Raw genomic sequence first — 27,137 nt, 5'->3', positions numbered from 1 at the left:
AAGGTAATTTATAGATTCAATGCCACCCCCATCAAGCTACCAATGACTTTCTTCACAGAATTGGAAAAAACTACTTTAAAGTTCATATGGAACCAAAAAAGAGCCTGCATCGCCAAGTCAATCCTAAGTCAAAAGAACAAAGCTGGAGGCATCACACTACCTGACTTCAAACTATGCTACAAGGCTACAGTAACCAAAACAGCATGGTACTGGTACCAAAACAGACATACAGACCAATGGAACAGAACAGAGCCCTCAGAAATAATGCCACATATCTACAACTATCTGATCTTTGACAAACCTGACAAAAACAAGCAATGGGGAAAGGATTCCCTATTTAATAAATGGTGCTGGGAAAACTGGCTAGCCATATGTACAAAGCTGAAACTGGATCCCTTCCTTACACCTTACACAAAAATCAATTCAAGATGGATTAAAGACTTAAATGTTAGACCTAAAACCATAAAAACCCTAGAAGAAAACCTAGGCATTACCATGCAGGACATAGGCATGGACAAGGACTTCATGTCTAAAACACCAAAAGCAATGGCAACAAAAGACAAAATTGACAAATAGGATCTAATTAAACTAAAGAGTTTCTGCACAGCAAAAGAAACTACCATCAGAGTGAACAGGCAACCTACAAAATGGGAGAAAATTTTCACAACCTACTCATCTGACAAAGGGCTAATATCCAAAATCTATAATGAACTCAAACAAATTTACAAGAAAATAACAAACAACCCCATCAAAAAGTGGGCAAAGGACATGGACAGACACTGCTCAAAAGAAGACATTTATGCAGCCAGAAAACACATGTAAAAATGCTCACTATCACTGGCCATCAGAGAAATGCAAATCAAAACCACAATAAGATACCATCTCACACCAGTTAGAGTGGCAATCATTAAAAAGTCAGGAAACAACAGGTGCTGGAGAGGATGTGGAGAAATAGGAACACTTTTACACTGTTGGTGGGACTCTAAACTGGTTCAACCATTGTGGAAGTCAGTGTGGCGATTCCTCAGGGATCTAGAACTAGAAATACCATTTGACCCAGCCATCTCATTACTGGGTATATACCTAAAGGATTATAAATCATGCTGCTATAAAGACACATGCACCTGTATGTTTATTGCGGCACTATTCACAATAGCAAAGACTTGGAACCAACCTAAATGTCCAACAAGGACAGACTGGATTAAGAAAATGTGGCACATATACACCATGGAATACTATGCAGCCATAAAAAATGATGAGTTCATGTCCTTTGTAGGGACATCAATGAAACTGGAAACCATCATTCTCAGCAAACTATCGCAAGGACAAAAAACCAAACACCGCATGTTCTCACTCATAGGTGGGAACTGAATAATGAGAACACGTGGACACAGGAAGGGGAACATCACACACCGGGGACTGTTGTGGGGTTGGGGGAGTGGGGAGGGATAGCATTAGGAGATATACCTGATGCTAAATGACCAGTTAATGGGTGCAGCACACCAACATGGCACATGTATACATATGTAACAAACCTGCACGTTGTGCACATGTACCCTAAAACTTGAAGTATAATAATAACAAAAAACAAAAAACAAAAACAAAAACAAACAAACAAAAAGAACATGAAATGGTGGTTGCCAGTGGCTGGAGGAAGGGAGAAATGGGGGGGTTGGCGTTTCATAAAAATACAGTTTCAGTTTTTCCAAATGCAAAAGTTCTAGAGATTGGGTGCACAACAATGTGAATGTATTTACTACTGAAATGTATATTTCAAAATGGTTAACATGACACATTTTACGTTATGTATCTTTTAATACAATTATAAATTGATTTTAACAAAATTAACACAATTAATACAAATCTTAGAAATGCAAAAATAAAATAAAATAAAGACAAACCTAAAAAAAAAAAAAAAAAGAAGTATGACAAGAAAAGTAATACATGATTCTTGCTGGGACCTTGGATTGATACAACAAAAAAGCTCTAAGAGGACACCGTTGAGACAACTGGGAGAATTTGATTACAGACATTATATTAGACAATAGAATTGTATCAATATTAAATTTCCTAAACATGTATTTATTTTGCAGTTATGTGAAGAGAATGTTCTTGTTAGTGGGGAAATCTATGCTAAATGACTTGGAGGTGAAGTGTCATGCCGTTTTTAACTGAATTTCACATTGTTCAGCACCTCCCACCAGCCTCCCAAAAAGCTGGAGAACTGTGGTAAAAAGTTTACTCGGTGAATCTAGAGAAGGGTAAACAAATGCTCAATCATACTATTCTTGTAACATTTCTAAAGGTCCCAAAATTTTGAAAAATGTGAGAAAATGAAAACAGGCTGGGTGCGGTGGCTCATGCCTGTAATCCCAGCACTTTGGGAGGCCGAGGCAGGTGGATCACAAGGCCAGGAGTTTGAGACCAGCCTGGCCAATATGGTGAAATCCCATCTCTACTAAAAATGCAAAAATCAGCGGGGTGTGGTGGCACGTGCCTGTAGTCTCAGGAGGCTGAAGCAGGAGAATCGTTTGAACCCAGGAGGCGGAGGTTGCAGTGAGCTGAGATCGCGCCACTGCACTCCAGACTGGGCGACAAAGCGAGACTCCATCTCAAAATCAATCAATCAATCAATCAATCAATCAATGCCAGGTTGGGCATGGTGGTTCACACCTGTAATCCCAGCACCTTGGGAGGCCGAGGTGGAAGGATGACTGGAGGTCAGGAGTTCCAGACCAGCCTGGCAACATGATGAAACCCCTTCTCTATTAAAAAAAAAAAAAAACCCAAAAAATTAGCCTGGTGTGATAGCAGGCACCTGTAATCCCAGCTACTCAGGAGTCTGAGGCAGGAGAATCACTTGAACCTGGGCGGTAGAGGTTGCAGTGAGCCGAGATCCCACCACTACACTCCAGCCTGGGGGACACAGTGAGACTCCATCTCAAAAAAAAAAAAAAAAAAAATCCCTTATGAATGCAAGGGATTCAACAAACAAATTTACTAGGTAAATTGGAAATATAAGATGATCACTTAAGCTGCTTAAGATATGTGGTCATATATATATATTTTATTACATATATATTTTATTACATATATATGTATTTACTTCAGAGGCAGAGTCTCACTCTGTTACCCAGGCTGGAATGCAGTACTGTGATCATGGCTCACTGCAACCTCAAATTCCCGGGATCAGGCAATCCTTCCTTGGCTTCCCAAAAGTACTGGTATTACAGGTGTGAGCCACTGTGCCTGGAAGTGTGGTCATACAGTCAAAGTGAACTGCATGGCTTGTTTTTCTATAGCCATGATATCCCCTGTTCTGGTTCAAACACAGAGTAACCAGAGGTTTAACCAAAGTTGAGGTTTTGCCAAGTGAATAAAATGGTGGAAATTTCGAGGAAGTATGCAAGGGAGTGAACATAAAAATGGATTGAGAAATATCCAGACAAGGTAGGGCAGGAGAAACAAGGGATTGATATTTAGTGAAAAAGTGTTGTAGTGATTAAAAAAAAAAAAGTGGGAGTTCTTGAAAGCATCAAGTGGGAAAGCTGAAGTTTAAACAAAAAGGTTTTACTTAAGGAAGTTGTATTTACTTTAGCAATAACACAAAGATTCATTCATCCATTTTCATCCCATATTGGGGTGGTGAAACAAAACACAAGTTTTAGACCAATATACAGAGAAGGCTATTAATGTTTATCCTTCTAATCCACTTTTACCAAAAATATAACTGCTACGCTTTAAAGATAGTCTCTATTTCTTTATAATTCATTTGTCATAGTGGGGCGTTCCAGATTAACTGCAACCACATGCAAATAAAAATTCTGGCAAATACAGTAATACCTCAGCTATCTGGAATTTGGTCACCTGATCACCTACTCTAGCATAACTGAAAAAAAAATGGGAACAGAAAGGACTACAAGTAGCCAATAATATGTCACAAAGCCTTTCCACTAAAATATATTATTTACTTATAAGAGAAACACCTTAGGTTTTTCCACAGATTCTATCTAACCTAACCAAAAGCACAATTTAACTCTGCCATATGTTTTCCTGACTCACAGCAGATTAGAAGTTGCAAACTAGAAAAGCAAAAATGAGATACACAGCAGCAGGAGGTATACTGACAATAAAGCAGGAGGCTGAAAAACTAAAAATGCAGAAAAAAATTTAGAAAGCGTAAGTCTCTAACACAGGAATGCCTCAGTAGATTCTGAAGACAGTGCACTTTTAAAACCAGGGAACACAGTCATTAAATATACCATTCTAAAAGTAGAAACACTTCCTAACTCCTATGAGGTCAGTAGCATCCTGACATTAAAGCCAGACAAAAACACCACAAGAAAACACAACAGACCAGTATCTTTTATGAATATAGATGCAAAAGTCTTCAACAAAATACTAGCAAATAAAATCTAACAGCATATTAAAGGGATTATATACCATAATCCCAAAAGCATTTATTCCAGGAATGCAAGGGGGTTTAATATAAGAAAAATCAGGGCAGCGGGATGGAGCAGCCGGGGCCTGGGGCTGCCTGCCGGGCGGCCAGGCGCGGCGAGCCCAGGGAGGCAGCGTCCATGGAGCAAAAGGAATGCCAAGATCCTGCCCACGCAGAGGCGGGCCAGCCTCAGCACCGATAGCCGACACGCAGATAGCAGAGCCATCCTTGGAATGAGGAAACCAGAGCCCAGCGAGGTGAAGGGACTTTCTCAGGGTCTCATGGTGACAAGGCGGGCCACGCCCTTGCAAGTTGGTGTGAGGATGAACCTGTTTGGGAGCCCAGCCCATGCTGGAGTGCAGTGGCATGATCTTGGCTCGCTACAACCTCCACCTCCCAGCCGCCTGCCTTGGCCTCCCAAAGTGCTGAGATTGCGGCCTCTGCCCGGCCGCCACCCCATCTAGGAAGTGAGGAGCGTCTGCCTGGCCACCCATCGTCTGGGATGTGAGGAGCCCCTCTGCCTGGCCGCCCAGTCTGGGAAGTGAGGAGCGCCTCTTCCCGGCCGTCATCCCGTCTAGGAAGTGAGAAGCGTCTCTGCCTGGCCGCCCATCATCTGGGATGTGGGGAGCGACTCTGCCCGGCCACCCTGTCTGGGATGTGAGGAGCGCCTCTGCCCGGCCGCACTGTCTGGGAGGTGAGGAGCGTCTCTACCCGGCCGCCACCCCGTCTGGGAGGTGAGGAGCGCCTCTGCCCGGCCGCCACCCCGTCTGGGAAGTGGGGAGCACCTCTGCCCGGCCGTGACCACGTCTGGGAACTGAGGAGTGCCTCTGCCCAGCCGCCCCGTCTGAGAAGTGAGGAGCCCCTCCGCCCGGCAGCTGCCCCGTCTGGGAAGTGAGGAGCATCTCCGCCCGGCCACCCCGTCTGGGAGGTGGGGGGCGCCTCCAGCCGCCCTGTCTCGGGGGTGGGGAGGCCCCTCTGCCTGGCCACCACGTCTGGGAAGTGAGGAGCCCCTCTGCCCGGCCGCCACCCCGTCTGGGAGGTGTACCCAACAGCTCATTGAGAACGGGCCATGATGACGATGGCGGTTTTGTCGAATAGAAAAGGGGGAAATGTGGGGAAAAGAAAGAGAGATCAGATTGTTACTGTGTCTGCGTAGAAAGAAGTAGACATAGGAGACTCCATTTTGTTCTGTACTAAGAAAAATTCTTCTGCCTTGGGATGCTGTTAATCTATAACCTTACCCCCAACCCCGTGCTCTCTGAAACATGTGCTGTGTCAACTCAGGGTTAAATGGATTAAGGGCGGTGCAAGATGTGCTTTGTTAAACAAATGCTTGAAGGCAGCATGCTTGTTAAGAGTCATCACCACTCCCTAATCTCAAGTACCCAGGGACACAAACACTGCCGAAGGCTGCAGGGTCCTCTGCCTAGAAAAACCAGAGACCTTTGTTCACATGTTTATCTGCTGACCTTCTCTCCACTGTTGTCCTATGACCCTGCCAAATCCCCCTCTCCCAGAAACACCCAAGAATGATCAATAAATACTAAAAAAATTAAAAAAAAAAAAATCAGCCAGGAGTGGTGGCACGCACCTGTGGTCCCAGCTACTTGGGAGGCTGAGGCAGGAGAATCACTTGAACCCAGGAGGTGGAGGTCGCAGTGAGCCAAGACTACACCACTGTACTCCAGCCTGGGTGACAGAGTGAGACTCTACCTCAAAAAAAAAAAAAAAAAGATATCATATTTCCTGATTTTTTTTTTATTGTGGTAAAATACACATGACATAAAATTTACCACCTTAACCATTTGTAAGTGTACACTTCAGTGGTATTAAGTACATTCATATTGTGCATCCATCACTACCACCCATCTCCAGAGCTGTTTTCATCTTGCAAAACTGAAACTCTGCACCCATTAAACGCTCACTACTCCCCCCCCAAAAAAAGAAAAATCAATCCATGTAATACATCAATAAATGAAAGAAAAGAAAAATAACATGATTATCTCAACTGACACAGAAAAATAATCCAATAAAATCCAATGTCCTTTCATAATAATAATCATTGTCATCACTCAACAAACTAGGAATGAAAGGTATTATGAGTTGAATTTTGTGTCCTAAAAAGATATGTTGAAGTCTTAACCCCCAATACCTTAGAAGGTGACCTTATTGGGAATAGATCATTGCAGATGTAGTTAGTTAAGGTAAGATGTGGTCATTATTGGAGTAGGGTGAGGTCCTTAACCCAATATGACTGATGTCCTTATGAAAAGAAGAGAAAACACACCTGCGCACGCACATGGAGAATGCCAAAGGCAGAGATTGTAGTAATACAGCTGCCAACCATGGAACACCAGGGATTGACAGCCACCACCAGAAGCAAGAAAGAGGCAAGGAAGGTTTACCTAGAGTCTCAGAGGGAACATGGCCCTGCTGACACCTTGCTTTCAGACTTCTAGCGTTCAGAACTGTGAGACTCCATCTCAAAAAAACAAACAAACAAAAAAAACCCACAGCTGATATCATACTCCATGATGAAATAATAAAAGCTTCCCCTGAGATAAGGAACAAGACAAGCGTGTGCTCTTTTCACAACTGCTATTCAACATTGCACTGGAAGTTCAAGCCACAGCAATTAGGCAAGACAAAGAAATAGAAAGCATTCAGATTTGAAAGTAAAGGTATCCCTATTCACAGAAGACAAACATATATAAAAACCCCCAAATACACACAAAAAATAGAGCTAATAATTTGGCAAAATTTCAGGATACAAGATCAACACACAAAAATCAGTTCTACACACCACCATAAACATCCATAAACATGAAAATTAAATTAAATTCCATTTACAATAACATTCCAATAAAATACCTAGGAATAAATTTAACCAAGGCAAGACTTGAACACTGAAAACTACAAAACGGTACTGAAAGAAATTAAAGACAAATAAAAAAGACATCAAACATTCATGGATTCGAAGACTTAATATTGCTAAAATCACAATACTGACAAAGTAACCTACTTAGTGATTAAAAGGAAACCTTATCAAAAGGGATAAGACAGCTAAAATTAATACACATACAGAACACATACAAGTGTTGGCAACAACATGGAGAAATTTGAACCCTTACACATTGTTGGTGGGAAGTAAAATGGTGCATCCACTGTGGAAACAATTTGACAGTTCCTCAAGAAGTTAAACACAGAATTACCATATGATCCAGTATTCTACTCCTAGGTACCCAAAATAATTGAAAACAGGTACTTGAACGAATAGTTGTACACATGAATGTTCACAGCAGACTGTTCACAATAGCCAAAAGGTGGAAATAACCCAAATGTCCACCAAACGATTGAAAAAGCAAAATGTGTGTGCATGTATGTATGTATATACACATAATGATACATGTTACAACACAGATGAGCCTCAAAACAATAATGCTAAGAAGCAGAAGAAAAGGTCATACATTGTGTGATTCTACTGATATGAAATATCCAGAATTAGTAAATTCAGAGAGCCATAAAGCAGATTGGTTACTGCCAGGGACTGGAGTAGTGGGGAAATAAGAAATAACTGCTTAATGTGTACAGGGTTTTCTTCGGGGTAAATGAAAATGTTCTGGAACTAGATGAGGTGGTGGTTATCCAACACTGTGAATATACTACCTGCCACTGAACTGTACATTTCAAAATGGTTAGTTTTATGTTATTTATGAATTGCACCTCAGAAAAAGCAATGTAAAAAAATCATTCTCATTCAAATGTTGATAATCATGCTTCTTAGTAAAATTTTTCTTCTCCCTAGTGTTTTAGGGCTCCACTCTTGTATAGCCTGTTTGCACTGTGAACTTTTCTTCCTACCACCCTAGATGTCTACCCTGAATTATATCACATATAGTTTACATTAATATCTAGACACTGACAATTACCAAAATCATATCTAAAGACCAAACCACTTTCCAGAGATCCATAGCCATATATACAACTGTGTCTTAGGCTTTTATATGTCCCACAGGCACCTCGGAAGATTTAACATGTCCAAACATGAATGTACTATGAAACTGCCATTTCTCATTATAACTTCTATTTTCATTAATGGAATGCCATCTACGGTCACCCTAACAGAGCAATCTGAGAGGCACTTCTGAGCCCTCTCTTTCAACCCAATATCTATCAGGTTTATCATCCTTATTAACTCCTCAAAAAGACCTATTATTCCCTTTCTCTTCAGTTACTCTCTTCTGCACTATCCCTTTTTGTCTACTGTAAACATATTAATATTTCAAGGGTCATTTCCCAACTGGAACCTAGCACAACTTATTAAGATAGTACTATTATAAAAATAGGGACATCTGCTTCCACCATGATGCCCTGGTTAACTGCTGTGGAAATTGCCCTCCCATAGTAAAAAACTAAGGACTCGAAAAATTATATGAAACACCAGTTTTCAGACACTGAACACTGATCACTGAACATGAACATTAATCACAGTTCAAAACCATGATCCATGAGGGAAAAAGCAGCAAATGAGGCAAGCTGTCTGAATGCCCCAACGTAGTGTCTGGAGAGTTTTGAGGTGGTAGTTAGTGATGGGAGGTGGAATCACAATGGTCTATGAGAGCTGAAGAGAGAAGAGAGTTCAGAAAGACTGAGAAGGCTAGAATTTGTGGGGTAGAATACCAAAAAGATGGAGAAATACACAGAGAAAGAGTATCGGATATGCAGAAGAGTCTCTGGGTTCTTTGGTTGAATACTGCACATATATGAGAGAAAACTTCTTGAGGCCAAGAGCTGAGAATAGTTCAAGTTTTATTCTCAGAAGATCTTTTAATATAAATGGGGCACAGGGTCAAATCTAATTTTATTGTAGGTATAAACAAGTATCAGAATAAAGGCTGCTCTAGATCTGCCATACAAACTTACAATCCATCTTAGAAAGGACCAAACTGATTCACAAGGTACTTAACACATGAAAAAACAAATCAAACATTCTTAACTATTTTTTTCTTTTTCTCCACCAGCCAAGGAGAAGCACCGAGCAAATCTAACATTCTTTAAAGAAACACTAATAACATCATCCAATAAAAATTCAGAAGACTAAATAATGTAAAATTCAGAATTCTGACATCAAAACTATCAAAACAAGAAGCAGAAAAATATAACCCACAAAACAACAAAAACAACAGAAAGAGGCCCAGAAATGATATAGAACAGAATTAGTAAACCAAAAATCTTAAAATGGCTATTATAAATTTTATATGCCCAAAGACATATATACACAGGAAAACATCAATATAATGGGTATAGAAATGAACACATAAAAAGAAAGACTTAAATGGCATTTCTACATTTGGCCATACAGAAAAAAAAAGTTTTAAACAATTCCTAGAGGTCTAACACACGAATAAGGAGTGGGAAATGGAAGAAGAGATAAAAATACTTCAAGAAATAATGGCCCCAAATTTTCCAAATTCGAAAATTATAAACTAAGAGAGCTAAGATGCTCCAGAAACCTCAAGCAGATGTCGTTTTTAAAACACACATACTAAGATTATTAAAATTATGTGATAATTTTATTATTTTTAATAAAATTGCTGAAAACTAGAGAGAATAATCTTAAAGTATTGGGGGTTGAGGGAGAAAAGAGAATACATCCCATTCAGAAGAACACAGATAAGAATGAGCAGAAATCTCACTAGGTATGAGATATCATAACAAGCAGTCTTTAAAGAGATGAATGAAAAGCAAGAAAACCCATCAGCCTAAAACTCTATACCCAGAAGAACAAAGTTCAAACAGTCACACTTCTTGATTTCAAAACTTACTACAAAACAATAATGAAAACAGACAGATAATATCATGTATGGACAGACATACAGATCAATAGAATATGAGTCCAGAAATAAACCTTCACATTTATGGTCAACTGATTTTGAACAACTGTGCCAAGGCAATTCAGTAGAATAGTCTTTTTAATAAATAGTGCTTATATAATGGATATCCACATGCAAAAGAATCAAGCTGGAACCTTTCCTTAAACCACACACAAAAATTAAGTCAAAATGGATCACAGACCTAAATGTATGTGATAAAACCGTAAAACTCTTGGAAGATAAATGGAATAAATCTTTGTGACCTTGGATTAGGCAAAAACCTTCTTAGACATGACACCATGCACACAGTGACAAAATTTTAGAAACAGACAAAATGTTCTTCATCAAAATTGAAAACTTTATCCTTCAAAGCATATCTTCAAGAAGTTGTAAAAAATGACCCACAGAATGGAGAATATTTTAGCAAATCGTATTTGAAAACAATTTGTATCCAAAATATACAAAGAGCCCTTAAACTCAACAGTAAGACAAACAATCCAACTAAAAAGAGGGCAAAGGATCTGAATAGATATTTCTTCAAAGATGTGCACAAAAAGCCAATAAAGCACTTAAAAAGATGTTCGGCATCATTAGTCATCAGGGAAATGCAAATCAAAATCATATGAGATACATTTCACATTACCACTTATATGACTATAATCAAAAAGAAAAATAAACATTGGCAAAATGTGGAGAAATTGGAACTCACACTGCTGATGGGAATGTCAAGTGGTGCCACCTCTTTGAAAGAGTCTGGTAGTTCCTTAAAAGGCTAAACACAGATCCAACAATTCCACTCTTAAGTATATACCCAAGAGGTGAAAACATATGTCCACACACAAACTCTGAAAGTAATGTTCACAGCAGCACTCTTCACAAGTTAAAAAGTAGAAACAAACCAAGTGTCCATCAATGTAAAATTATTCAGCAATAAAAAGAAATTAAGTACTGATAGGTGATACAACATGAATAACTTGAAAACTATGTTAAATGAAAGAAGCCAATCACAAAAGACCACATTATATATTATTCAATTTATATGAAATATCCAGGAACAGGCAAGCCTGTAAAGGCAGAAAGTTGATGGGGGGGTGAGAGTGGGGAATAGAAAGTGATTGCTTAATCAGTATAGTATTTCTTCTTGGGATGATGAAAATGTTCTAAAATTGATTGTGGTGAAGCTGGTACAACTCTGTGAATAAACTGTACACTTTAAATGGGTGTATTGTATAAAGTGAATTATATTTCAATAAAGCTATTACATAAAAGAGAATTCTAATCTAAGAAAATATCTTTCAAAAACAAGGACAACAATCTGTTTAAAGCAAAAATTATAAACATGTATGGTGATTTTAAAACATTATAGATTTAAAATATATAACAACAGAACAAGGCATGAGAGAAGTATACTGTTCTAAGGTTCTTATAAAACACATTAAAGTGGTATATCACTTGAAGGTAATCTATAAAGATGTATACCACATTAGAAATGAAGATACATAAAAGCATAAGTAAAGAAAAAGATATATCACAAACACTACTCAAAGGAAAAAACATTGGCTATATTAATACTAGGCAAAGTAGACTTCAGAACAAACATATGTGGGAAGATTGCTTGAGCTCAGGAGTTTGAGACGAGGCTGGGGAAAATGGCAAAACCCTGTTTCTACCAAAACCAAAAAAGGTGGCTGGGTGTGGTGGCAGTCCCAGCTATTTGGGAGGCTGAGGTGGGAGGATTGCCTGAGCCGGGGAGGTGGAGGTTGCAACTAGCTGAAGTTACACCTCTGCACTTCAGCCTGGGTGTTAGAGAGAGAACCCTGTCTCCAAAAAAAAAAAAAAAAAAAAGACATAATCCTAAATGTGTATGAAATTAAAAGATCTTCAAAATACATGATGTAAAATCTAATAGAACTGAAAGGAGAAACACACAATCTACAATCATGATTGCAGATTTCAACAGTATTCTTTAATTTTACAAAAGTTAAACAAGAAAAATAGGATATAAAATAGGACATACAGGACTTGACCAACACACTCAAAGAATTTGATCTGACATTTATAGAACCCTTCACACTATAATAAACATTCAGTTCAAGGTCTCATTAAACTCTTCAATAAACTTAACCTGGAATCAAACTCCTTGTTTTTCAAATGCAAAATAATTAAACTAGAAATGAACAAAAAAGATGTGGAAAACCACCAAATATTTAGAAATCTAATAACCGATGAGTTAATTTAAAAAAAAAAAAAAGGAAATTACAAAGTATTTTGAATTAAACAAAAATGGAACACAGCATATCTATATGGAATACAGCTAAAACAATGCTTAGAGGAAAATCTGGACCATTAAATATTTACACTAGAAAAGAAAACTGGTCTAACACAGTAATCTAGATTTCTATTTTAAGAAACTTCAGAAAAACCAAAGAAGAAAGAAACAAGTAGAATTCAATAAATTAAAAAATGGAAAAAAAAAGGAAAATCAATAAAAGCAAAAGCTAGTCCTTTGAAGTGATCAATAAAATTGATAAACCTCAACCACAACAAAAAAGACACAATTTAGTAATATCAGGGAAGAAAGACGTCACTACAGATGCTAGAAGGCACTAAAAGGATAATAAGGAATTTTATTAAAAACCTTGTCAATTTAGATGAAATGAATGAATTCCTCAAAACACACAAACAACCAATGCTTACTCCAGAAGAAATAAAAAATCTGAATAGCACTATATCTACTAAAGAAACTTAAATTAAAAACCTCCTCACAAACAAATTCCAGGTCGAAATCACTTCACTGATGAATTCTACTAAAATTAAAGAAAGAAATACTACCAATTCTACATAAACTCTTCCAGAAAATAAACTTAATCTATGATGCCAGCTTTTCACTCTGATACCAACCAAACAAAGACACTGCAAGAAAAGAAAACTACAGACTAAAATCCTTCAGGATGCAAAAATCCTTAACATTTTAGAAAATGAATCCAGCAATACATAAAAAGGATAAAACATGACCAAGTGGTATTTATCCCAGGGATGTAAGGTTAGTTTAATGTGAAAAATCAATGTAATTCACAATCCACAGCAAAAAACAATCGTAAGATAACCTCAACAGATGCAGAAAACCACGTGACAAAATCAACACCTATTTTGTATAAAAACTCAGCAAACTAGGAATGTTAGAGTACTTTCTCAACCAGATAAAGTTCATCTACAAAAATCCAACAGCTAACATTATACTTAATAAAATAATAAAACACCAGATGCTTTTAGCGGTGAATGAAAATAACTTAAATCTTGATTGTGGTGGCAGTTACATGACTATAGATTATAAAAATTCATACTGTACGATTCAAACTAGCAAATTTTATTGTATGTAAATTACATCAATAAAGCTGATTCTTAAAACTGTCAATATTTTCTTCATGGTTGTTCAAGAAAGGTTAGTCTTTTAAATAAGAGGACTGATTATAACAACACAATTACTGATCATTTATATCACTACATCTAAGGATCTATAAACAGCAAAATATCACAATCTTTAAGTAATGAGTATCTGCAATATATTTACAAGTTGAACCTTAAATATAAGAAGGTTATGCTACAGTTCATTTTGAGAGCTGTAAATTGATGAAATTTAGATGAAATGAACAAATTTCTCAAAAGACACAAACAATCTCGTAGGCAATTAGGAATTTCTGCTAAAACTGCTTAATAGTTTTAAAATCAGTAATAAAATCAAACAATATACTATAACGACAACAAAAGAACTAGTTTAATCTTTTATTCTATTCTACAGTCTATGTTATCTTTCTACCAAAGCACTTAAATATATAAATCGCCTGAGAGTTGACCTAAACTAATTCAAGTTGTTTTAAGAATTGGACTAGACCTGCATTTTATCCTATATTTGGAATTCATTTATTTTCCTCAAACCGAATCACTCAACTACTAAGAAATATTCAAGAAATAGAAATTTTAAATAATAAATGTACAAAACACTAATCTATAATTTTATTATTGCTTTTCAATCACTAAAGGAAAGTATGTTCTAATTGTTCAGTTGTATCCATAGGCTTAATTATAATACTAGAGAAAATGAGAATTCTTTAAATCCAAAGCAGGAAGCTAATATTTTAAGAACATTTGCATTTCTGCTACATTAAAGGTGGACAGAAATATAGACAAGAAATTTTTCTAATAACACTTCTCAAGTATTTGCTGAAGGGAAAAATAAATGATAAAGAGCATATTCAAATGTAGCCTCCATAAATTAACACTTATTAACTGAAGGCAGAAGACACATGCCATTTCAACTACAAAGCTAGTGGATAATGGAATTTCTTCTTTCTTTTTTTTTTTGAGATGGAGTCTCACTCTGTCACCAGGCTGGAGTGCAGGTGGCATGATCTCGGCTCACTGCAACCTTCACCTCCTGGGTTCGAGCAATTCTTCTGCCTCAGCCTCCCAAGTAGCTGGGACTACAGGCACAAACCACAATGCCCAGATAATTTTTGTATTTTTAGTAGAGATAGGGTTTCACCATGTTGGCCAGGATGGTCTTGATCTCCTGACCTTGTGATCCGACTGCCTCAGCCTCCCAAAGTGCTGGGATTACAGGCATGAGCCACTGCACATTCTACCCTCTCATTAAGACTGAAAGTGTCAACATTCCTTACCAAATAGATAACTCAATATATATACAACTTAGCTGATAAACCGAAGGGCAAGGTGTACATGTGAAAAATGAGCATGATTTTTTAGCGAGAACAAGAGTATCCTACTTTGTTTTTTAAACAATGCTTATCTATCAAGGGTTCATTAGTAACAAAGCCAAAACTGACTTAGCTCATGTTTTCAAGCCATTAAAATGTGTAGTACATTCAGTCACTAAGGTTTCATGGTTAACTCGTGTTCATTTTAAATGCACTCAAAAACAACAATATTCTGTCCCTATTTTCCACCTTTAACTTGCCTATTTTGTTTAGTTTTGAGATTACATTAGGCAAAGTAAACATAAGAGCAGGCTTGTTTTTAAAATAATGAGGATATCTATGCATTCTTTAAAAATACAACTCAAATCATATAAACCATGTCAAGCTAGAACTGAATAAATAGTAGCATCACAAATAGAACAAGCTGCCTTTTACGCATTTACAACTATTGCTGTAAGTTTTAAAAGAAAAATCCATGTGTAAAATGGGTAATGAAAGTAAACAGCATTGCACTTAAAAATATGGAAAACTTCCACACTATTCAAACCATAACTATATCTCTTCACTAAATAGCATAACTTAATAAAGTTATTCTAAATTCCAGAATAAGGTAAGTTTAACATTTTAGTATTCAACTTAGCCATTTATTACTTCAAGAGAAGTCCAATAAAAGCATTACTGGTCAACAACAAAAACTTCTTTCAAATATCAGATGGTTACCTGATCAGATGGAGTTAATACTAAATAATCCTAATAATGAGAACTATATTAACAAATCACAAACATTTGACAAACTGTTGGTGTATCAAAAGTGAAATTTAAAATCAAATCTCTTGCAATGATTCTTCTATCCTACCTGTATCTTCAATAAATTCCACACATTTCTCAACAAATAGTGGTATGGGCTTCTCAGCTGTAACCAGATCCTGGAGGGGCATCCCAAAGTAATTACTTTCCCAATTTCTACGTGTTGGTGGATTGAAGTTCTTAGTTTTCTTTTTCTGCTATAAGAAAACATATTTAAGTTAACACTATTAAAATTAATTTCAGAATAATAGTAATGAGCAATGTAAATACACGGTTCGGATCAAAAGAAAAATTTTATAGCCACATCCAACCTAAATGTCCACCAATATGACTCGCTAAATAAATTTTGCCAGAAGTAGCAACTTGATTGGAGACATAAGTGAACAGAAAAAAAAATGGCTTATTGAAAGAAAATATTCTCTTTGGAAAATAACAGACTTGATAGGTCAGGAGAGAATAGAAAATATCACTTTTCAATGCCAACACAAGGGACAAACTAGGGGCAAGCAATACCTGATTCAGTTTAGGTGTGATATATTAATTTCATTTGGTCTCTTGAAGCAGGTCCGAGTGAGTTTTCTGTGTCTATCTATATTTGTAAGAACGTAAGAGCTCTAATTATTGATTGCATAATGATGCTATATAACTCCATGAACCGTTAGTTCCATCATTTGTCCCTTATTTTTCCATTTTCTTCCTGCCTACTGATGCTTTTTATTTTTATTTTATTTATTTACTTATTTTGAGATGGAGTCTCACTCTGTCGCCCAGACTGGAGTGGAGTGACGCGATCTCGGCTCACTGCAAGCTCCGCCTCCCGGGTTCACGCCATTCTCCTGCCTCAGCCTCCCAAGTAGCTGGGACTACAGGCGCCCACCACCACGCCCGGCTAATTATTTTTTTGTATTTTTAGTAGAGACGGGTTTCACCGTGTTAACCAGGATGGTCTCGATCTCCTGACCTCGTGATCCACCCGCCTCGGCCTCCCAAAGTGCTGGGATTACAGGTGTGAGCCACCGCGCCCAGCCTTATTTATTTATTTTTTTTTGAGAGGGAGTCTTGCTCTCTCACCCAGGCTGGAGTGCAGTGGCGCAGGGTCTAGGCTCACTGCAAGCTCCGCCTCCCAGGTTCACGTCATTCTCCTGCCTCAGCCTCCGGAGTAGCTGGGACTACAGGCGCCCGCCACCACGCCCAGCTAATTTTTGTATTTTTAGTAGAGACGGGGGTTTCACCGTATCAGCCAGGATAGTCTCAATCTGCTGACCTTGTGATCCACCCGCCTCAGCCTCCCAAAGTGCTGGGATTACAGGCATGAGCTACTGCGCCCAGTAGCTTTTTTTTTTAGACGGAGTCTCGCTCTATCACCCAGCTTGGAGAGCAGTGGCGCAATCTCAGCTCACTGCAACCTCCGCCTCCCGGGTTCAAGCAAGTCTCCTGCCTCAGCCTTCCAAGTAGCTGGGACTACAGGCGCCTGCCACCACACCACATGCACCACCAAGCCCAGCTAATTTTTTTTTTTTTGTATTTTTAGTAGAGATGGGGTTTCACCATGTTGGCCAGGCTAGTCTCGAACTCCTGACCTCATGATTCACCTGCCTTAGCCTCCCCAAGTGCTGGGACTACATGCATGAGCCACAGCACCCAGCCGATGCTTTTTTTTTTTTTTTTTTTTTGAGACGGAGTCTGGCTGCCACCCAGGCTGGAGTGCAGTGGCGCGATCTCGGCTCACTGCAAGCTCCGCCTCCCGGGTTCACACCACTCTCCTGCCTCAGCCTCCTGAGTAGCTGGGACTACTGGTGCCCGCCACCACGCCCGGCTAATTTTTTTGTATTTTTTTAGTAGAGACGCGGTTTCACCGTGTTGGCCAGGATAGTCTCCATCTCCTGACCTCGTGATCCTCCCGCCTTGGCCTCCCAAAGTGCTGGTATTACAGGCATGAGCCACCGCTCCCGGCCAGATGCTTACTTAAATGTTAGGATAACATTCATAAGTAATGTACAAAACATTTTCAGGATAGTAAAAAGACAAAATTAAGTAAGAATTTTCACAGTTTAACTTCAATGTAGCATTAGAGGGAAAATGATTCTTAGCCAAAGAATGAACATCTCAAAAACTTAAAGAAGTATTTTTGGGAATCAAACTACTGAGGAGATTCTGATTCACTCTCTAGAGCAGGGTATAGCAACGATTCCTACAGATGACTCTACTGTGCACATCCCATTGAGAGTTTCTGAAGTATACAAAGATGGGCAAGTTTTCAGAAATTCAGAGGATATTAGGCCACTTTTATTGACAGCCCTTGTTGGTTTTTCAGTTTAATCCACAAATTTTTATTTTCTCTGGCATAAATCACAAATCCATTAATATTTGTCATATTTGTCGTACTGGTTTTCAAATTGGACAAAAAGGTATCATTTTTAATCAGAAAAATGTATATGTGTGGGCAGGGGAAGGCGCACAGGCAGGGCTTTCAATGCCTGAAAACAATAGTCTTCATCTTAGTTTCTCATTATTTCTGGAAGTCTGTCTTTTGAATGCATACTTCAATGTATTCTTCTGAGTCTCTGAATATCTTAAATATCTTAAATACTTAATTAAATCCTTTCAATTTCAGGTCACTCCATCCAGCAAACTCTCAGAGCTCATGAAACCTAACTTCTAAATCCTCTTATACCATCATTCTCTGGTGATGCAGATTATATGCAACTCTGTTAAGTGCAGATTAAACCAAACACAACTAGGTGTCTGGAATGTTATCAAGGGGGCATTGGAGTGTCTGTTTCTGGCTCAAGACCTAACTCAGCAAGCCAAGGGCAAGTCAAGTGGTGTGGATCCTTATTCCTTAAATGATCCCTCCACTTCGACCACCACCAAAACAGAACAACGTGCAAGGAAGTGGAAATGAAGAGACTATAACCTCAAAGTTGAGGCAGGGGTACACTGGCTGAGTTCTTTTCTTTCTCAGGAACACAAAGGTGCATTGCAGCCTACCAACTATTAGCTATATTATCATTTGATTAGAAAAATGAAAACTGAAGCAGATGTTTTCTGTTTGGAGATAAATGCAGTGGTAAAAGAGATTACACTTGGGTAGATTTTTTTTTTTTTTGAGACGGAGTCTAGCTCTGTGGCCCAGGCTGGAGTGCAGTGGCGTGATCTCAGCTCACTGCAAGCTCTGCCTCCTGGGTTCACGCCATTCTCCTGCCTCAGCCTCCCGAGTAGCTGGGACTACAGGCGTGTGCCATCACGCCCAGCTGATTTTTTGTATTTTTAGTAGAGATGGGGTTTCACCGTGTTAGCCAGGATGGTCTCGATCTCCTGACCTCGTGATCTGCCCGCCTCGGCCTCCCAAAGTGCTGGGATTACAGGCGTGAGTCACTGCGCCTGGCCTACACTTAGGTAGATTAATGAAAATGGCAATGCCTAGACTATGGTGGGAACAACAGGAAGGAAGGGATCTTAACAGTCTGTAATACCATCTGAGGAATATAAAGTTTTAAGAAAAACAAACTAGCTAGCCAACTCTAAATGTTCCAATCACCTCTTAACTCCTTTTCTTAGCACTAGCATTTAGGAGTCAATTTAAACTTTCCAATGATTCTGAAATAATCCTATCCCTGTCTGTGGGGTCACAGGAAAGAGGAAAAAGTGAAGTCTCAACCTTATCCAGACAGCCCTGAATACTTAATTAAAATAAAATTGGGGGTTGTGACAGGAAAGCAAAATTATAGATTCTCTGGCTTATGCCAGTAAATACGTCCCAAGGTCCATAAAGTTATAAGGGCAAATTATTTAAATCTGCAGTTACACCAAGATTCAGAGCTAGCAATCTAATGTAATGAAAGGCTAAGTAGCTTATATAAGGAACTTCTGGCCAATTCAAAAGGGATACTTTAGAAATAAAGAACTGCTCTGACAGTCAAATTATAATCCATACATATAACAAGGGGAGGGGAGCCTATGTGACTTCTAATTTTTCCACTAATTAATGACACTGCTACAAAGGAAAATTCTATGCAGAAAAATAAAGTTTTGGATTAGACACTCCTATACTAGCTTTTGTGATGAACAAAAATGTATACGATTCCTTTTTTCTGTAAGTGATAGTTCTTAATCATTTACGCTTCAAGGTGCTCTTTTAAAACATGTGACTTTTGAAAAACTCTCCACAAAATTCTGATAAGCACCCTTTGGTTGAGAGTTCCTGATGTGTAGCTATAAACTTGTAACAACTCAAAATGATTTATGTAACTAGAAACCTATTTCATAAACTAAGACTAGATAATTACAATTGCTATAAAATGCCATCAAAGTTCTGAAATGTAAGAGAAAAATTAGTAGCATGGTATTTTATTGTTTATATCTAGTTTTTGATAAACCTTTAGTTAGAAATGGTACCTCTAATAAAATAATTGGGCCAGTGGAAAACAAATTCTGAAGTATGAAAATCCAATTTTTTTTTTTTTGAGGCGGAGTCTTGTTCTATTGCCCAGGCTGGAGTGCAGTGGCGCCATCTCTGCTCACTGCAAGCTCCGCCTTCCGGGTTCACATCACTCTCCTGCCTCAGCCTCCTGAGTAGCTGGGACTACAAGCCCTGCCACCATGCCCGGCTATTTTTTTGTATTCTTAGTAGAGACAGGGTTTCACCACGTTAGCCAGGATGGTCTCGATCTCCTGACCTCGTAATCTGCCCGCCTTGGCCTCCCAAAGTGCTGGGATTATAGGCGTGAGCCACCGCGCCCTACCGAAAATCCAATTTTTGATTCATTACTACATTCATTCATATCTGAACTTCTACTTAAATGCAAATGCCGTCTTTTTTCTAGCCACTTAAGTGAATTTCTTATCTGCAAAAGCACATCACAGTAAAACAAACATTCCATTCAGCAATTACATCTCTTTAAGTGTCCAACATATTAAAAACTCTCATTTGTATACGTAAACATGACTAGGAAGAAGAAAACAGCCCTTTCCAGAAACTGCTCTTCCTACTTAATACCAGCAACACAAAGGGTCACCTCAGCAACATCTTCAAATAAATACTACAGTAACATTTTTAAAAAACCAAACACCTCAAATGCTTCACCAGTAACCAAAAATTGAACAAAACTTGAGCAGTGAAATGCAGTTTACTAGGCTCTCAAAGAACCAGCTGTGGAAACAAGAAAACTGGATCTCTATTTTCTTACATGTGATTCTTGAAATTAAAAAAATCAAAGAGGCCAGGCGTGGTGGCTCACGCCTGTAATCCCAGAACTTTGGGAGGCCGAAACGGGCGGATCGCAATGTCAGGAGATCGAGACCATCCTGGCCAACATGGTGAAACACCACCTCTACTAAAAATACAAAAATCAGCTGGGCATGGTGGCGTGAGCCTGTAGTCTGAGGCAGGAGAATCACTTGAACCCGGGAGGTTACAGTGAGCTGAGATCGTGCCACTGCACTCCAGCCTAGTAACAGAGCGAGACTCTGTCAAAAAAAAAAAAAAAAAAAAAAATCAAAGAAGAAGCGTGACAACAGATGAAATGTAAATAAACTGAAAGAAAAAACTCATCACAGAAACAAAAACCTGCTTAGAAGTAGCAAATAAAAGATTCAATATAATTGAAAAGATCAAAATAAAATGGAAAAGACCATCAGAGAGTTCCTTTTCCTGCTATATCATTCTTATTATACACACCACAAAACACTGGGTTTTGCCCTCATTTAAAAAAGAAGTCTCAATCTTATACTCCCTTTTGCAGACAAACTATATACAAATAATCTATAGAAGATGTCGCCAATTCCTCTCCTTCCATTCATTCCAAATGCACTCAAATTAGTTATCACCCTCAAAACTCCACTAAATCAATCTGCTCTTATTAAGGTCACCAAAGACTGTTTTCTATAATTAGTTCTCAGTTCTCATCTTGACTTTTCAGCAGTCAGTCTCTTCACTGGACTTCTAAAGAGACCACCCCTGTTATCTTACTTGCTCTCCCCTTTTTAGTCTCCTTTTCTGGTCCCTCCTGATCAACACTGTAATGTTGTGAATATCCTCATCAGTCTCTGACTGTCTTTTGCTGCTGTTATTTGAGACAGCATCTTGCTCTGTACTCAAGCTGTAGTGCAGTGGCACGATTATAGTTCACTGTAGCCTTGAACACCTTGGCCTTAATTCTCCTGCCTTGGTCCCCCAAAGTGCTGGAATTACAGGTTGAGCCACAGCCCCAGGCTCTGATTGTCTTCTTTTTTCCATCTATACTCACCCTCTTGGTAACATCATCTATATGCTGATAAGCTAAATTATTACTTCCAGCGCAGCTCTTTCTCCTGAAGCCTAAACTAATGTAAAACACCCTAACAACATCAGTTTAAAGTCTAAGAAAAACCTCTCATGCTTTCCTTAAAATGTAATCTATCTGCAGCCTTCTCCATCTGTTTTTGGGAATTCTATCCTTTCAGTTGCTTGGAATACAAATCTTGGAGTCATCCTCTATCTCCTTTTTCTCTCATACCCTACTTCCAACTGTTAAGCAAATGGAGAGATACAGAATCTACTTACTTTTTACCATCTTCATTGTTAACTCCCTGGCCCATAAAGCTATCATCATTTCACATATATGGATTACTGCATCACCTGCTTAATATCCCCTGCTTCTACCATCATTCCCTACAGGCCATTCTCTACAGAGAGCTAGAATGTTGGCTCCTTGAATAGACATGTACAATCTGCATGCCTTGGACTCCGCTCCTTTACATTTTGACCTAATTTCCCTCATCATTTACGCCTTCCTCAAGTCACATGGTTTCCTTGCTATTTTAATATGCCAGGAATGCTCCTGCCTTGCACTTTTGTAGTGGCCGTTCCCTTTACCTTCTCAATGAGGCCTACACTGACCACCCTATTAAAAATTGTAATCCAATCCCAGCTACTTGGGAGGCTGAGATGGAAGGACAGCTTGAGCTTAGGGGTTTAAATTCCAGCCTGGGCAACACAGCAAGATCCCATCTCTTAAAAAAAAAAAAGCAAAAGCAATCCTACTGCTGTCTTTCCCAGCCCCTCCCCAGTACTCTGTTCCTCTTACCCTGCCTTTTCTCTCTACAACACTATGTAACTACTCACGTATCATCTTTTTTTTTTTTTTATCTCCCCAGCTACAATTTAAGCTCTACACAAGGGCAGGAATTTTTATCTGCTTTGTTCATCAACATACCTCAAACATCTGGAACACTATGAAATAAATTAGTACAAATGGTCCAGAAAGAGATACTTGAGGTCTCTTCTAAAATAATGAGCTTAATTTGTAGATTAAACGACCTTACTATGTACCAGGAAAAATAAACAACAAATAAGAGTGAATCAACAAGTTAAGGGCATATCATGCTGAACTTGGTAAGCTACAAAGAATCTTAAAAGCATCCAGGCAGAAGAAACAAATGACCAACAGTGGGGGGAAAAAAAAAGCAGGACAGCCTCAGAGTTCTCCGGAAAACTGGAAGCCAGAAGACTCATCTACAGGAATGTTCACGGGAAACATGTGTCAAGAATTCTTAGCCAGTATGTCATTTAGGCATGTATAACTCGCAACTTACACATTTTTTTAAAAAGTTTGCAAATATGTAATAATTATATTTAAATTATAATAGTTTCAAACGCCTGAAAAATCTTAACCACATGATACAAAATCAACTAAAAAAAACTTACACTGGAGAATTTATGATATGAAAAATGTAACAGTGAACAATGAATATTGTAAAACTAATTCTAATTAACAGTGGTATGGCTATTAATATAATTTATAATTTTGTAGGTAAAGCTATAAAATGTAAAAATAATCTGATAACAGGCCAGAACTAAAAGCCTCAACCTACCCTATATAAAGGGAGACGAGCGAATGAGATATGAGAGATAATATAATTACACTACTGCATAACAGGTACAATAATATACTATTTGGGAGGTGGAATAAAGATGGTAAACTGAAATAGGAGTTCAATATATTCAAAGATAAAAATATGAAGTACATAAATTAATAGCTCCTTCCTTTTTCTTTTTTTCTTTGCTAATGAAGAATAAAAACTAGAAAACAAGAAAAAAGGAAGCCAAAATTTATAAAATAAATATAAATGTAACAGGATCAACTACAACAAAAAGATTCTCGGGCTTAGTGTAAAAGTAAACCCAACCAACCACATGCCATTTAAACAAAGGACTCCAAAGAGTTAAGTAATATATATGTATATTTTAAAAGAGCAGTATTAACATTGGAGTTGCTAAGGCAAAAAGCCTTTAACCATACAAGCAAACTCACTTGACAATGATCTAGAATTCAATCTATCAAGCAGCAACAAATTATAGCAGAAATAAGTAAACTTCTATGGAAACCAAGAGTTAGCAATTTTAAAGGATCTCCTTTACTTTGTCAGGTCAAGTATGCCCAAATTAAGAATAAGCACTGAATGTTGATTTTAATAGATTCACACATACACCAGATAAATTTTAAGTCTTATAAACAGTATAATCCCATTTCTATAACATCATTTATATTCATGTAAGTATAGCAAAAATTATATAAATTTTAATCCTTCTCTTTCCAAAAAGGGAAGAGATCTAAAATCATATTTTACTCCAATGACTTTCAACCTGAGTTTCCTCTGGTCCCTTTATACTGTCTCATACTTGAGACTCTCCACATATCCCAGCATATTCTGAAATTAAAAAAACCCAAGTAATACAGGCACTACCTACCTTCCTCTCCCTTCCTAATGGCCTGAAATCACATTTAATTGAGAAGCAGAAAAAATAGGAACTCCCTCATATTATTGCCAGGACCAATCTAACTATAACCCTACTCTATTTCATCTTTTCCCTCTATAATAACTGCAGTACCTAAATCCTGATCACAGGATTACACATTACCTAAATCCTGATTCTCCTTCCTCTCTTTCTTCTCCTTCAGAATCACTCCTATTCCCCATCACTTTTCTCCTATAGCATCAATTTGTCCCTCTCCTATGAACATATACTCTCCAATCTCTCTCATCTTTAAAAACAAACACAAAAACCCTCCTTTGATCCCACATTGCCTTCTAGTTACTGCCCCAATTCTTGCTCCCTTTCACAGCGAAACTTCTTGAATGTCATCTACATCCATTGTCTCTACTTTTCCCATTCCAGTAACTCTTCAACCCACTTCCATCTGGCTTTCCCTACCATTCCCTTAAACCGCTTGTCACGACCAGATACTATCAAATGAATAAGAAACTTTTTTCTTCATCCTTGATCTCTCAGCAACATTCTTTCTTGAACTTCCTCCCTAAACACTTGATCTGTTAGCTCCCATATCATACTCTTCACTAGCTTTTCTCTTTTCCCACTAAGGATTTCCTTTCAGTTTCATCTACCAACAACTCTTCTACCCAAACTCAGTTGTGAGTTCTCCCTTCTTCTCTAGCTGTACTCTGCCCTTATGTGAATTTATCTAATCCCAAAACTTTAAATCCTTTATACATCCTGATAACTCTTCCTCTGAGTACCAGACTCATACATCTAATTTTTAGACTTTGATACTTCTACTCATTTGTCAACACAGATATTTTAAACATAAAAAGCAGTTGTCTTTATTCTTTCTAGTCTGAATCCTTTCACCCTTAGTCTTTGCTATCTTAGTAAATCTACCCAACTGCTCAAACCATAAACCTAGGAGTCAACCTTGGTTTTCTCTTTTCCTTTACTCTCCACAGCAAATATATCACAAGCCCTATTGGTACAACTTCCAAAATACTATTTAAAATCTGGTCACATTTCCTTTTGGTTCCTGTAACTGGCACAATATATACAGCACATGGTAGATACTCAGTAAACATTGACAGAAGCAAACAACTAAAAACAGGCACCAGAGGAAAGCCTTCACACATAAGATTTCTGTTAATATACGAAGTACTATTGGCTTATATACCATTTATGGTAACAGTTTCATTTACCTAATTCTTCATTCCTATAGGAGTTACTAGACAGGTATGTCTAAGCTTAAGCATCCTAACCTAATCAGGATTCATATGAAATAATGATTACTCACATCATCAAGTTACAGGAAGAATAGCCAACTGTATGTGAATTCACTTGGAAAAAAGGTGGTGTACTTTCAACAGTCTGTAAGAACTGAAGAAATTACTATACTATGTGCATAGCATGTTAGTTTGCTGTAAAGGATATTAAAAATCAGTGGAATTTAAGGCCCTTGAGAAACATATAGTCTGTTATAATGAAAAAACACCTCGCTACCAGTCATTAATAGCACATACAAAATAATATGCGATTAAATGTCAAAATAACTAAATTTAAGACTTAAATCTGGATTCAAAGGGTAGAACTTATATAGGAATGGATGAGGTCAGGGACATTTTCAGAAGTTAGAAAGGATCTAGTGCGTAAGTCATTTACTCATCTAAACATTTGGGTGCCTACTATATGTCGGGATGAAGACTATGAAATCACCAGAAACTGCCATTTATTTACTGCTTACTATCTATTAGGCACTTGTTAATACTATGTGCATAATCTTAATCTTCACAACAGCTCTGAGCCAGCTACTATTTTCCATCTATTTTGATGTACCTGGAGCTTAAGAGTACGTGTGGGAATGAATAAGGTTAAAAGGTCAGCAAAGGCCATACTGCAAATGGCTTTAGATGCCTAACTCACGTATTTGGAACTTTATACAGAGGTTACAAATACACTTTGTACGGACAGGGATCAGGCACTTCTATTTTAGCACTGCCCCCCAGAAAGCAACATAAATAACAGTTTGAAAAAAATGGTGAATGGAACACGGAAACCTAATTTAAAAAGTTGCTGCACCACAAATATTGGTGAGGATGTGGAGAAACTGGATCCATCATACATTGCCAGTAGGGATTTAAAATAGTATACCCAGGCCGAGTGCAGCGGCTCATGCCTGTAATCCCAGCACTTTGGGAGGCTGAGGCGGGTGGATCACGAGGTCAGGAGTTCAAGACCAGCCTGGCCAAGATGGTGAAAGCCCGTCTCTACTAAAAATACAAAAATTAGCCAGGTGTGGTGGTGGGCATCTGTAATCCCAGATACTCAGGAGGCTGAGGCAGAGAATTACTTGAACCTGGGAGGCAGAGGTTGCAGTGAGCTGAGATCGCGCCACTGCACTGTAGCCTGGGCAACAAAGTGAGACTCCATCTCAATAAATAAATAAATAAAATAGTATACCCATTCTGGAAAACAGTTTGGCAGTTTCTTATCCTGTATTCGAATGTTCATGACAACTTTATTCAAGATGGACAAAA

General features: G+C 38.2%; 1 protein-coding gene across 2 annotated transcripts in view, besides 1 other annotated feature; it reads right to left on the bottom strand.

The window, feature by feature from the left end:
• The window catches only part of ARHGAP5 (Rho GTPase activating protein 5), an 82,425-nt gene that overhangs the window by 26,556 nt on the left and 28,732 nt on the right, over positions 1-27,137 (bottom strand). The window contains exon 3 of one of the 2 annotated variants that reach the window (NM_001030055.2): positions 15,886-16,033. In NM_001030055.2, coding sequence (NP_001025226.1) covers positions 15,886-16,033 — 148 coding nt within the window. The remainder of the gene's footprint in view (positions 1-15,885; positions 16,034-27,137) is intronic. The other variant, NM_001173.3, reaches the window with a different exon arrangement.
• Positions 5,102-6,052: an enhancer, noted in NCBI's record as "NANOG-H3K27ac hESC enhancer chr14:32596327-32597277 (GRCh37/hg19 assembly coordinates)". NCBI's record gives its function as "activates a minimal SCP1, AML or CMV promoter by ChIP-STARR-seq in naive H9 embryonic stem cells {active_cell/tissue: H9 hESC(naive)}" and the evidence as "EXISTENCE:reporter gene assay evidence [ECO:0000049][PMID:30033119]".

Source organism: Homo sapiens, chromosome 14 (assembly GCF_000001405.40).
Source record: "Homo sapiens chromosome 14, GRCh38.p14 Primary Assembly".
Classification (NCBI taxonomy): Eukaryota; Metazoa; Chordata; class Mammalia; order Primates; family Hominidae; genus Homo; species Homo sapiens.
This window is presented reverse-complemented; position numbering and strand designations above follow the sequence as displayed.